General features: G+C 38.7%; 1 protein-coding gene and 1 non-coding gene across 12 annotated transcripts in view; one reads left to right on the forward strand and one right to left on the reverse strand.

The window, feature by feature from the left end:
* CTNNA2 (catenin alpha 2) overlaps nucleotides 1–13,547 on the forward strand; it is a 1,463,404-nt gene that overhangs the window by 452,205 nt on the left and 997,652 nt on the right. Inside the window, exon 2 of one of the 11 annotated variants that reach the window (XM_024452715.2) lies at nucleotides 8,019–8,271. The exons of the other annotated variants lie outside the window; for them this stretch is intronic. The gene's annotated coding sequence lies outside the window, so the exon portion shown is untranslated. The remainder of the gene's footprint in view (nucleotides 1–8,018; nucleotides 8,272–13,547) is intronic. 11 annotated transcript variants of the gene reach the window in all.
* MIR4264 (microRNA 4264) lies at nucleotides 11,713–11,778 on the reverse strand. The gene has a single exon (NR_036231.1). It is a non-coding gene; the product is annotated as a microRNA 4264 (primary transcript).

The following is a 13,547-nucleotide window of genomic DNA, read 5'->3' on the forward strand; positions in this document are numbered from 1 at the left end:
GAGATGCATGCTAGAAAGGTCTAGTCTTCTCTGACAAACTGAAAGGTCAAAAATGGCCCCTAAACACTCAGTTATCTTAAACAATACCTTAAGGATTTATTATCCACATATTTCTGTGAAGTTTCTTAAAGTTGTGTATTTTCTTAGCCTGTTCTGCCCCACCAGACTTACCACCCGTGAAATAACATATTGAACACATTTCAGGAAGTTGAATTTTATCTTGGAAAAAAACAGATTTGGAACAAACTTTGGTTGAATTCCATTAACCTTGGAAAAGCAAGCTTTAGTTCTCTTATGGGTAAAATTGGGATACCATCACTATTGACCTGACAGCAGTGTGAATGTAGCATAAGGTAACATAGGTCAAGTGCCTGAACAGTAACTGCTGAGACAGCGTGCTCAGCATGTGTTAGTGCCTTCCTCCATGACTGTCTGATACACATGTTGTTACTCTCAGTGATTGACCAAGGACTCCCATTCACTCCAGCATACCAGGACTTGATGATAGCAACATGAAACTATTGCTAATTATAATAAACTTCGGCCAATGACCTGTAGTGTTCAGTGGAATCATTGTTGTTTTGAAATGTAAATATCATGAAATTAATGGAAAGGATTATACTATCTTGAGATGTACAAAATTAACAGGCCTCATTTGCATTTCCTAAAGCCATGTAGATTCATTTTTTTATATTTACAGAAGCATATTACCTGAGGTATTTTTTGGCTCATAAATACAAAATTAAATCCCACAGATGACCAGAAGGAAAGCTAGGTCATTGTTTCTCTTTTTTACATATGATTTTCTGTATCAAAAGCTTAATAAGATGATTTACTAAGGAGTATATATGCTGAACACAACTCGTGCTGAAATGTCAGTCCTCACTGTGAAAGACTTCTAGGCAAATATAATTGCTGTAATGTGTTACGACCTTTCAAGACTCATAATTCAATTGAAAGGGGCAAGGCTAATTAAATGCAGGAGAATCATTTCCCACTTACTGTAGCTGCCACTGGATGCAAAGCAGTACCTGTTTACTTTAGATCCAGTGAATCAGCCAGTCTATGACACAGGAAACTGCATGAGGCAGGTCTATTAGGCTTAAATAATTTCCCTATGAGTTTCTGCTACTTAATTCCTTTTTAACTCACCAGCACATGTGTAGATTTAACTTCGACTTTTAAAATAAAATATAATAATTCACTAGAGCTTGCTTGCTTTAAAAATACAAGTCCTTAGGTACTAATTAAGTATTTTTATAACCACTTAACTGTTGAAAATAGCTCTTAAATATCTGCATTTCTTTCTTTATATCATGATTACTTTGTCTCCTTGACTCTCCATCCTAGAGTTACTTGGATGCCTTTTCATAGCCTCGGTTAATTTGTTTCCTGCATTTTTTCTGGCAGCAATTCAAAAGATCATTGATTATTTTCCCATTACTCTGTTGCACAAACTACTTAATATGGCTCCATCAAGGCATTCAAAATTCGGAGCTGCCATTGGTTACCTGGGTACTGCCTGATCTAAATGCCAAGTTGAAATGAAATGATTTAATGGTCCCAGAGATGCCCATCTCCAGCAGAGCTCACTCTGTGAGGGCTGCCCTCTTGGTGAATGGTTCCTGCTTTTACAATCTGATGAGTCAGAACAAAGCTCATCTCTCTAATCAATATTAAGCATGTCTAATTCACTTTAATGTTTACCACATCACCTAACTGGAGCTTGCACACAATGGGTAGTTAGTATATAGGCATTGAATGAATGATGGATGGATAACTGAATGAAGGAAGAGACAGAAAACTTTTATTTAACAATGCATTATGGGATTGCACTTTTTGGCTAGAATATCAAAGGCTTTCAAGGAAATAATTGAGAAGCATTAGATTCTTGCATTAACAGTAAAATTTATTTATATAAATTATTTGAAAACACTGTAATTAAATTTGAGTTTCTAATGCATTCTGGACATAAGTCCTCATTAAAAGTTTTTTTTTCGTTTAAAATTGGTTGTCTAACTTTTAAGTAAAGATATCTTAATATGAAAATTACTTTAAAAATTAACTTTTATGACTTGGTTATAATTTGAGGGTTTTCAATGCCTTGTTGAATGGGATTCAAATTATATTGTGGTAACTATTGTAGGAAATTTGGGTTGGGTTCAAAAGGATTAGTTTTAGTATAACTCAAATGACTCTAGTAACAAAATAAAAGCTACATTTTAAAGAGAGAATATCGAAGGCATTCTGAAGAACACTTATTTTTCCAGGTCTGTAGCAGCTAAAGTGGTGCATTCAGTAAAAAATCTCCTTCCTGCATCAGAACATTTGTATTTTATTTTAACTATAATTGTGTGTGTGTGTGTGTGTGTGTGTGTGTGAAGAGAGAGAGAGAGAAACTTGAACGTGGCAAAGAATCAAGCCCATGAGTACTCATAGCATTTTGAGTAACGCCCAACACTGCTAATCATTGTGAAAGTGAAGATCTCTGTTCCTGAATGCATTAGAAGGCACAAAACTTAGGTAAATCAAATAGATAACAACACAGGCAACTTGTATTCAAATCATGTATTTGAATTAGAATTGACTTAAAGTCGTTCTAAATACCAGTGGAATTCAGAGAAAAGAAAAGTCACTAGGGCTTGTGTAAACAGGGAGACTTCCTAAAGAGGTTGGGACCTGAGAGGGTCTTGAAGACAAAATGGAATTTGAGTCAGTGAGAAGGAAGACTTCCTAGGAGGCATTGTGGGCTAACCTGCACAGCTTGAACTATACTTTGCACAAAGTTACTCATGTGGAAATCAGAACTGAATCAAATATCACTAGTCTTAAAGTTACTTTTTCCTGAACAAAAATGGGGTACAATTTAACACATGTTAAATAAGCTAGTATCCTGTTCTAATATGTACTATACATTTTTCTGAAATACATAAATAAAAGTAAACCTGAAGTATAAATTACGTTCTCTAAATAATACCAAGATGTCATGTGTTTTCAGGGTCTGGGGAAGTACTGAACAAAGAATATGTCTAAGAATATGTCTAAAAATATTTCTGAAAGATATTTTAAAAGCTATTATTCTCTAGGAAATAGACCCACAATTGAAAAGATAAAGAATTGATACTTGAAAAGTACAAATAAATATTTGGATATTTCATATGTTCACATTTAATCAACAACATTTAGGAAGGGCCTAACTCTCTACTATATGCTGCAGATGACAGAAAATAAATGAAAAACTGAATTTATGTCTTAATGAGTTTATAACCTGGTGGGTTATGTCAAACTAATGTCAATTTCTTAATGAGCCAGTTAAGAAAAATGTTAAGATCTTCTGTTACTGACTGTAAATACAGTCTTGATTCAGGGATTATGAAGGTGCAGGTTAAGGATGTCAGTATTTGGATATTGGAGGATGAGAAGGAATGTGTCCCAGGTAGAAACTTTAGGAAGAGGCATGAACCATGTGTTGTAATGTTATACCCTGATCGGAGTAGAAGACTTTTGTTAAAGAAATAAGATCCAATAGAGCAGGGTCAGAAAGTGGAATATCTGCCTGGTTACAAAGAGAAGTTGGGGCTTGTTGGAAAAGAGAATTAAGCAGTTGTTTTGGTTTTCTAGAAAAGCAATGTTTAGGATAATTAGTTTGGGCTAAATTTTACAGTGAGACTAAAGGAAGGCAGTTTGGTGGCTAGTTTGCTATAATCTAAATATGAAATGTTGAGATTCTGGTGAAGAATTGAGATATATAGTTATTGCACAAGAAATTCTAATTTATAGGCAGAAGAACAAAGAATAAATTAATTGCCAAAGAAGCTATGTTCCTATTAAATAATTTAAAGTTACTTTTGGACTGTAAAGATAATTCCTCAAGATATGTTACCTGGCATACTAACAGTTCTGATTTTCAGTTGTTGGAATCTACTGTCCAAATCTGAATTGCGGTGTTGCTGAAGGATAATAAGCAAGTTGAACAATGTTAACCTTTGGTCAAGAAATTTCATTTAGACAATTTGGGTCCCTGGTGGGACACTGGACACCTCACATGGCATATAGAGTAAGCACTACTTACCTGAATATCACATAGGTTGATACTCAAGTGGAAAACAACCCATAATTTAGGAGTAGACTGAGTCTGTATATGTTTCCAAAATGAATTAAAATGATAAGACTGTGAATGCAGTGAAAAGCAAGGAAATGAATTTGACAGATACTAAATTTTATTTTCAATTTCAAATTACTGGCTTTCTATTAGCATACTCCAGGAGTGGTGAATTTCTATAAAATTGGCACGGAGTATTAAATTTTATGAGTGTGCTATTGTAAGTATAAAAACCCATTTCAGTGAGATATGGACATGGTTATTTCTTTTTACTCAGCAAACTCTAGGCCATGTATTATTAGTCTTAACTTATCACCTTGAAAGACTTGAGGCTTTGGAGCTTTCTTTGTATATATATTTGTGGTAACATTTTGTTTATTTGGGTAGAAGAAAAAGGAGATTCTGAAAAGGGTATACTAGTTTGATAAGTTTATTAAAGCATTCTTTAATATGCATTTATGCTTTGACATTGAGTATTATTACAGTAATATTTTCAAATTATTACAATGATATTTTTGTTCAGCAGCACTTCTTTGAGTGTTTTGTTAAAAGGTGTGGCTTTACCAAAAATAGAAGTCTTGCAAATATTGTAATATTTGAGGAAAGTACTTAACTACACTTTAGCAATAGCGGAGATACCCGCACCCCACCCTGCCTTCACTGCAAATAGCAAAAACTACTTAGACATTGCATATCACTGCAATTTTGAATAAAAGGGGTGACAGATCCTGTAATTACAGCAGCAGCTTACATCTTGGATCCCCTCTCAGTTCACTGAGCCAGGGCTTTGAATGGTTATTGTGTAAAGAATAGTGATGGGTGATACACTACCTCGTTATAGTCAAAGTTAGGGGAAATGGGCTTAGATTGAGCAGAGTTAATGGAGGAAGATAAGAAGCAGGGCTTTCCCATAGTTTGGGCACCAGACCAGGCAATTTTCATACACATGGTAGCACCAGGAAGAGTGACAAATGCCATCTTCCTCCCACCTCCATTTGGACATGGTGTTGTCATGGCAGAGTGTATTCTGGTGGGAGCCAGGATGCCTTTTACTCTCTAGGGCTATGTAGATAATAATACAAAAGATTTCTCCTGTTTTTTTTTTTTCCCTCAACTTCTGCTCCTATCTGTGATACATACACACAGATACTCTCTTCAGCGCCAGAAAATAGCCCCTCTTACAATAGGGTATCCACATCCTAGAGGTACTTTAAAAAAAAAATTAACAGGCCGGGCACGGTGGCTATGCCTGTAATCCCAGCACTTGGGGAGGCCAAGGCAGGCAGATCACAAGGTCAAGAGATTGAGACCATCCTGGCCAACACAGTGAAACCCTGCCTCTACTAAAAATACAAAAATTAGCTGGGCATGGTGGCACACGCCTGTAGTCCAAGCTACTCGGGAGGCTGAGGCAGGAGAATCGCTTGAACTGGGGAGGCGGGGGTTGCAGTGAGCCTAGATCGTGCCGCTTCACTCCAGCCTGGCAACAGAGCAAGGCTCCGTCTCAAAAAAAAAATTAACAGAAAATTAGAACCACTATCATAGTTCAGATAACATATTTGGAAGACTTAGTTTTATGGTCCCCAAATAAAGAGGTATTGTTCTTACTGGTCATCTGGTCTGAGCAGAGATATCCCATATAACTACTCCCCCACTGGCATGTGTGGTGATGGTTCCTGATTACAACAGTGGTTCTTAAAGTGTCGTTCCTGAACCAGCAGCAGCAGCAGCCTCTGGAAATTTGTCACAAATGAAAATTATCCAACCCACCCTAGACCTAATCAATCAGAAACTCTTGGGGTGGGTCCCGGAATTTGTGTGTTAGCATGGCCTCTAGGTGATTGTCATGGACACACAAATCTGAGAACTATTTGTATTTGTTTTCTATTGCTGCAGTAAAAAAGTTACCACAAACTTAGTATGTGGTAACTTACCATTGTATTACCACTTAGTTTTTGAAGGTCAGAAGTTCAGGCAGACATGGCTGGGTCTCCTTCTTTGGCTCTCTCAAGGCTGAAATCAAGGTATTGATAGGGCTGTGTCTTACTGGAGGCTCTGGGGAAGAATCCACTTCTCACCTCATTTAGGCTGGTGACTGAATTCAGTTCCAGGTGGTTGTGGAACTGAGACCTCCATTTCTTTGCTGACTTTCAGCTAGAACTCATTCAGCTCCCAGAGGCCACCCACATTCTTTTCCATGCTTTTTATGTGGCCCCTCTAGCAACTAGGTTAAGTTTTTCTCAATTCAAATCCCTCTGCCTTTTCCCTTAGCCCTACCCGTCTTACATCCTCTTCTGCTGTATCTCTATCATGTTCTCTTCCACCGATAGCCAGGAGAAAGATCTGATTTTTGTTTTGTTTTGTTTTGTTTTGAGATGGAGTCTCTCCCTGTCACCCAGGCTGGAGCGCAGTGGCATAATCTCGGCTCACTGCAACCTCTGCCTACCGGGTTCAAACAATTCTCCTGCCTCAGCCTCCCGAGTAGCTGGGATCACAGGTGGCCACCACCACACCTAGCTAATTTTTTTGTATCTTTAGTAGAGATGGGGTTTCAACATGTTGGCCAGGCTGGTCTCGAACTCCTGACCTTGTGATCCTCCCAGCTCGGTCTCCCAAAGTGCTGGGATTACAGGCGTAAGCCACCGTGCCTGGCCAAAAGATCTGCTTTTTAAGGGGTCATGTGATTACATTGGTTCTACCCAGATAATTCGGGATAATTTCCCTTTTTTAAAGGCCACCGATTGGTAACCTTAATCACATCTGTAAAATCCCCTTGATCATGTAATGTAAGATATTTACAAGCATAACACAAGGGGGCTGAGGTCACTGGGCCAAAATTTTGTCTACTTTGCATTACATCTCACAGGTTCCTTCTCTTGACTTTGCCAGGCCCCTGTGTTGCTCACTAGCTGGCCCAGCTTTACAGCCAGCATCCTACTCTCACCATATAAGACCAATGGCAACTTGGGGAAACTGACCTCAAGACCTGCTCTGTCTCACCAGGAAAGCAGCCACATTGCACATGAGCCCCACGCATGCATTAGAACACCTGCTGTTGGTGTCTCCCTCATCTAGTCTAACATTCCTTTATATCTCTCTCTTGCCTGTTCCTCTCTCATTCTCCAGAAATGGCTGGCTCCTCTTTTTTTCATTTGTGTCCTTACCTCTATTGCCTCCCATGATTCAGAAGCTCCAGGGTGTAACTAAGCCTTGGGATTCTTCTCTAAAAGCCGTACGCCAGAGTGGTTTTGAGCATAAACTTTGAAGTCAAGACAATTTAGGTTCAAGTTTTGTTTTTTGTTTTTTGTTTTTTTTTTGAGATGAGGTTTTACTCTAACATCCAGACTGGAGTGCAATGGCATGATCTCGGCTCACTGCAGCCTCTGCCTCCTGGGCTCAGGCCATCTTCCCACCTCAGCCTCCGGAGTAGGTAGGACTACAGGTGCGTGCCACCATGCCTGGCTAATTTTTGTATTTTTTGTTGTAGAGATGGGGTTTCATCATTTTTGCCCAGACTAGTCTCAAACTTCTGGACTCAAGCAATCTTCCCATCTCAGCCTCCCAAAGTACTGGGATTATAGACGAGAGCAATCGCACCCAGCTGAGGTTCAACTTTGATGACCATGAGCAACTTTCTCTACTGTTTTATACTGCAGTTCCCTCATTTATAAACGGGAGGTAATAGTAAAAGGTCATTAAGCCAGTATTATTTTATTCATGGAAAAAGCAATTTAATGTACAGGAGACTCAGTACTAATAATACCTGCCAACTACCCTAAATAGGGGAGAAATTTAAAGAAAATAAATGCAAAAAAGGCAGAGAAAAAAGCAATTCAGGGTTTTCAGACTTGATTCTTGAAATGCTGAAGAAATTTAGAAAATTCACCTTATCTCATCTCTCTCCCTTTCTCAATAGATCTGTTTTTGAGGCATCTTGTCTTGTGAGATTTCCAGTGGCATCCCTACCCCAATTGGTGTCTTGAAGTTTAGGATGATACTCATGTAGACAACATTGCAAAGAAGAAAAACCATCACTTTTGCATGTGCAATTATTCTACCGATTTTCAGAACAAATCTTTTAATAATATAATGTTATCACCATCCTTGTTTTACAAACAATGAAACCGAAGCTTAGGTAATATAACTGACTCAACATCATACGTGCAGAGGTAGGTGAATTATCTCCACAGCTCTATGATAATGACAGGCATTATCAGTCATTAGCTTCTTCTGAATTTGTATCAACTAAAGCTAGCCTATCATATAATAAAGCTTCGTGGAGTTTGATGGCAGTAGTGCCCAGTATTGGTGAAGAAAAAAATTCATGAGGAGAATCTGAAGCTGGAGTTCCATGGAGAGAAAACAGGTTTGGGTGGTCCCCTTGGCAACTGGAAAGCATCCTGGGCTATTGTGCTGCTATAGAACAGTAGAAAGAATGGAGATAATTTAGAAAGGTGAGGCAGAGAATTCCAAAGACATTTTCCAGGAAGGTTTGAAAAGGAGAATTTCTGCAGTGAACGATGCATTGTATTAACATATCTGGCATTTGAAGGCATTCCTTGGGGTATGGGAACTCGAGTCAGTTTCTCCTTATCAGGACGCTGTCCAAGGAAACAAGCCCCTTAACCCTTGGCTGCTTCACAGAGGAGCCCATTTTACTCTGACTTTTCTTTTCTGTCAGGTTTTGTATTTTCTATCATGAGTGACAAATAGCTGATAGCATCCTGGCCTGTGCCTCTTTCTTACCACCACAGAAAGAATATGAAATTATCTGAAGTATTACCAGGTGGGCTGTATTATTACCTTACATGGAAACACAATTTAAAACTTTTCTTTCTGTCTTTTTTTTTTTTTTTTTTTTTTGAGAAAGGATCTCATTCTGTTGCTCAGGCTGGAGTGCAGTGGCACAATCATGACTCACTGAAGCCTCGACATCCCTGGGCTCAAGTGATCCTCCCACCTCAGCCTCCTCAGTAGCTGGGACTACAATATTGTGCCACCATGCTCACCTAATTTTTGTATTTTTTGTAGATATTGGTCTCACTATGTTGTCCAGGCTGGTCTCAAACTTCTGGGCTCAAGCAGTCCACTCACTGTGGCCTCCCAAAGTGCTGAGATTACAGGCATGAGCCACTGTGCCCAGCTAAAACTTTTCACGAAGAAACTCTCCTCAGAAATTCAAATTCTAGGAGCTTTCTCATAGGCTTGTAACATTGTGCTGTATGGAAGAAGACAAACTTGTTGTCTTTTGTTATTTACAATCTTGTTTTTCACTCTTTGACTGTATCCAGTCTGTATTCTAAGTCTCTCTACCAAAGGTAAGTAAAATATAAATTTTTACTTTGAATTCAAATCAGTGAGAAGAAATTTATTTGCTTTATGTAAATTTTCTTTTGTGGGCAAACAGACGGTATTAATTGCACAGATGGGATTGAGACTATATATCATTTTATCCTCAGAAAGATGAAGGGCTCGTGAGACTGCACACTTGATCTGTTCTCTTGTTTTCTCGTTTGTGTCAATTTGGTTGTTCCACATAGAGGAGTGTAAATCTGGATCTCTATTTTAATGAGTGTTTACCTGTTACTTCAGAGATAAAGAATTGCCAAAAAAGGAAATTTAAATTTGGGAAAATAATGACAACATAACAATAATAACAAATATTTCCAGGAATGTTAGCATGCTTTCTATCCATTAAGTTATTTAATCCTCACAATAAGCCTATAAAATCCTTATTATCCTGATTTTTCATTTGAGGAAACTGGGACTCAGAAAGGGCAGGCAATTGAACAGTATCACAGAGCTAATAAATTGCAAGGCTTCAAGTTTTTTTTTTCAGTATACGTTCCTTATTTGTTTATTTTCAGTCTTTCCCTCCAGAGTGTGATCTCTGCCGAGACAGCAGATATTTTTGCTGGTTTTGTCCACTGATGTAGCCCTGCTACCTAGAACAATGCCTGGCCCAGAGTATATGATAAATACTTGAATGGCAGGGCTTCAATTTAAACAAAAGTCTATTTGATACCATTGTGTTAGCTATTGCTGATTAATAGTTAATGGCAAAATCTCAGTGGCATGCAACATACAACAGCAGGCATTTACTTCTTGATCATGTGTTGATGGTTTGGTTGGGAGTTGGCTGACTAGGCTTAACTTAGCTGTGCTTGGCTCCAGCTCCAGCTCGGATTCAGGTGTGCTCCATGTGTCCTTCTTTCGTTTTGGACCAGTAGGTTATATGTGACTCTTATGGCAGAAGGCAGTAGCACAGAGGAGAAGCCCAATTAAGTAAGCACATTCCAAATGTCTACTCACGTCATATTTCTTAACATTCCTCTAGCCAAAGCTCAATAGCAATGGAATAGGAAAATATTCTCTTCTCATGGAGGTGAGGATGGGAAGGAAATGACTATTTACTGAAAAATCCTCCAATCTACCTCAAATGCCTGTGCATTTTCTCTGTCCTTCCTAATTCATAAATATTGAATGTACAGGCGGGATGACATTCTCAGTTAGGAGTCACCTTATTGTGTGTGCTTGTCAGAGGGGCCACATACCAAATCATCAATTCATATTTTCTGACTACCATTGCCTCCCTTTTTGCTCTAGAGGATGTTTGACTCATTTTGCCTTCTCTGCCCTAATTTGTTCATACTAGAACTCTGGAGGCAAAGATCATTAATGAGTGATTCTAGAAGACTATGGTTATGATTACTATCCTGGAACAGAATCTTTTTTTTCTGTTTTCATGCAATTCCAATTGGCCAAGGGATTTTTTAAGGAAAATGTTCCTACTACAAGGTCTAATACAGACAGCAGAAAGCAATCCAATGTTTTACAAGTAGCAGGACATGCAGGATGGGAATACTTTTTCTAGAAACAGCAAACTGTAAAGATGATACCAGCTGAGGTATCACAGGCAGGGGAGCTTCTTACCTTCTTCTACCTTGTGCTCAATGGCTGATATGAAGCTAAAATGCCCCTTAGAGGCAACTCAAAGGGAATCTTACATATCAACATCATGGGTTTAGAGGTGGGGATTTTGCGGTCCCCACCACCACTCCTTTTGTTCATTGCTAATGTGGTTAGTAAACTAAATGGTGAAAAGATTATGGGGTAGAGACAGAATTCCTGGTTTTAGTCTCAACTGTATCAGAAACAGCATGGCTGGAAAACAGCATTTCACATTTCTATGACTTATTTTTCCACTTCAACAAATTAGTACCGTGTAACCTTTTCTTTGCTACTGAATTTTACCTTTGTCACAAGAAATGACTAAAAAGATTGATCCTCAAAGGAATAAATTAATTTGAGTGATTTGTCTGGGAACTATTGTTCTTTTATTTTTAGAGTTAGAAGGGCTCTGTGACCTTCAGGACTGAAGGCCCTAACTAACACTTGCTTCTTGGCTCATAGTTGGCTTGAGATCTTTGTTTAAGGAGTATCTTTCACTTCTGCTTGATGCATGCTAGATTCATGTCTCTGTTGTGACTTCCCCAGCATTTTTGTGTCATGTTTTAAAAGTTACATAATGGAACAGCTATAATTTTATGTGCCTTCCTTGATCTATCAGCGTATGTCTACAAGCATGCCCATGTTATAATGGAAATTCTCTATGCAGTCTTACCCAGTACCTGTCACTATCATGTTACAATGACCATGACTGAGTATCCAGCTTTCCTACAGAACTTCCGTGTTCATCATCATTATTATGCCACTTGTGATTCCATTAGAGTTTGAAAAAGGTTCTCAGGGAACTTCTCCAGAAACTTGCAACAGCTGTATCATAAGTACTGGACTAAGATCACTTAGGTAGGTCTGGCTTCAGTAGGGATGAAGGTATCCCAGTGTCTGCAGGAAGCATCTGGCATCTTTATCCTTCTATGGCATGAGAAGGTGTGTTGCCCAGCGGCAGAATTCTGTATATGACAGAGCTGCTCTATGGCAGTTGGTAGTGTGAATGGAAAATGTGTAAAGTGTTTTTAGGTTTTTGGAGGACAGGCAGCATGTCGGTGCCAACTATTGTTGTGATGAAGAAACCCAAATCTAAATCGGTCTGTATGGTTGGATTGCTATGCTTAGTTTATTTAAAACATGGCATTTGGAGAGAGTTAAAATACCAGCACACTGTGTCTTTGCCTCTACTTTTTTTCTGAAGCAAATTGGTTGGGTCTATTTGCAAAAGCTTTAGCTGTAAGAGAGCCAGTAAAGAGGCACATTTCTACTAGTGCCTATTGTGATAGGCCTTCTTTGTCGTGTTAATTCTAGTAGAAATAATCATCTACATTGATTTATAAGGTTGGAATTGAATGGGGACATTGATTCAAAATAAAAGAACAGCCATGGACATTTTGATTTATGTTGGTATTAAGGCAAATCATTCAGATTCGGTTTGTACAATCTAAGGTTGCTTGTCCAGTGGTTAGATGTCAGAATGTATTTAGCAATTTCTTGATGAAAGAAACAAACCCCTGATAGAATGTATACTTTTTCGGGGGGGGGGGGGGAGGGGCTAGAACTGTAATTTTTTGCTTGTTGTGTGGAGACTGCTACCTGCATGTCAGTGGTTCTTAGGTAAGAGAGGATTGCTTTAGAGTGAAATAAATAACCTTATCAGTCACTGATTTTATGGGACAAGAATGTAAATGTAGTGAGTAATCAGAGAGCATGTAAATAGTAGCAGATAATTTTTCAGAACATTGGCACTTAGTTTGAAGATGTCTTTCATATTTAAGAGACTGAAACTCTTGTCCCAAGGAGTATGATATTCTCAGGGGTCAGTTATGATGTGAAGAAAAAAGTAGCCTTTTGTTATAAAGGGGTTCCTACATCTAGTAATCATTGGTGGATTTACTTTGCTTCCTGCTATTCTTTGTTGTTCTCTCCAGACTGACATTGATGCCCCTTCCTCACCTCTCCCATAGTCCTCTCTGTGTTTCTTTTTTTTTTTTTAAATGTATTTATTTTTATTATACTTCAAGTTTTAGGGTACATGTGCACATTGTGCAGGTTAGTTACATACATATACATGTGCCACGCTGGTGTGCTGCACCCACTAACTCGTCATCTAGCATTAGGTGTATCTCCCAATGCTATCCCTCCCCCCTCCCCCCACCCCACAACAGTCCCCAGAGTGTGATGTTCCCCTTCCTGTGTCCATATGATCTCATTGTTCAATTCCCACCTATGAGTGAGAATATGCGGTGTGTGGTTTTTTGTTCTTGCAATAGTTTACTGAGAATGATGATTTCCAATTTCATCCATGTCCCTACACAGGACATGAACTCATCATTTTTTATGGCTGCATAGTATTCCATGTTAAAAAGTCAGGAAACAACAGGTGCTGGAGAGGATGTGGAGAAATAGGAACACTTTTACACTGTTGGTGGGACTGTAAACTAGTTCAACCATTGTGGAAGTCAGTGTGGCGATTCCTCAGGGATCTAGA

This window comes from Homo sapiens, chromosome 2 (genome assembly GCF_000001405.40).
Source record: "Homo sapiens chromosome 2, GRCh38.p14 Primary Assembly".
In the NCBI taxonomy this organism is placed as follows: Eukaryota; Metazoa; Chordata; class Mammalia; order Primates; family Hominidae; genus Homo; species Homo sapiens.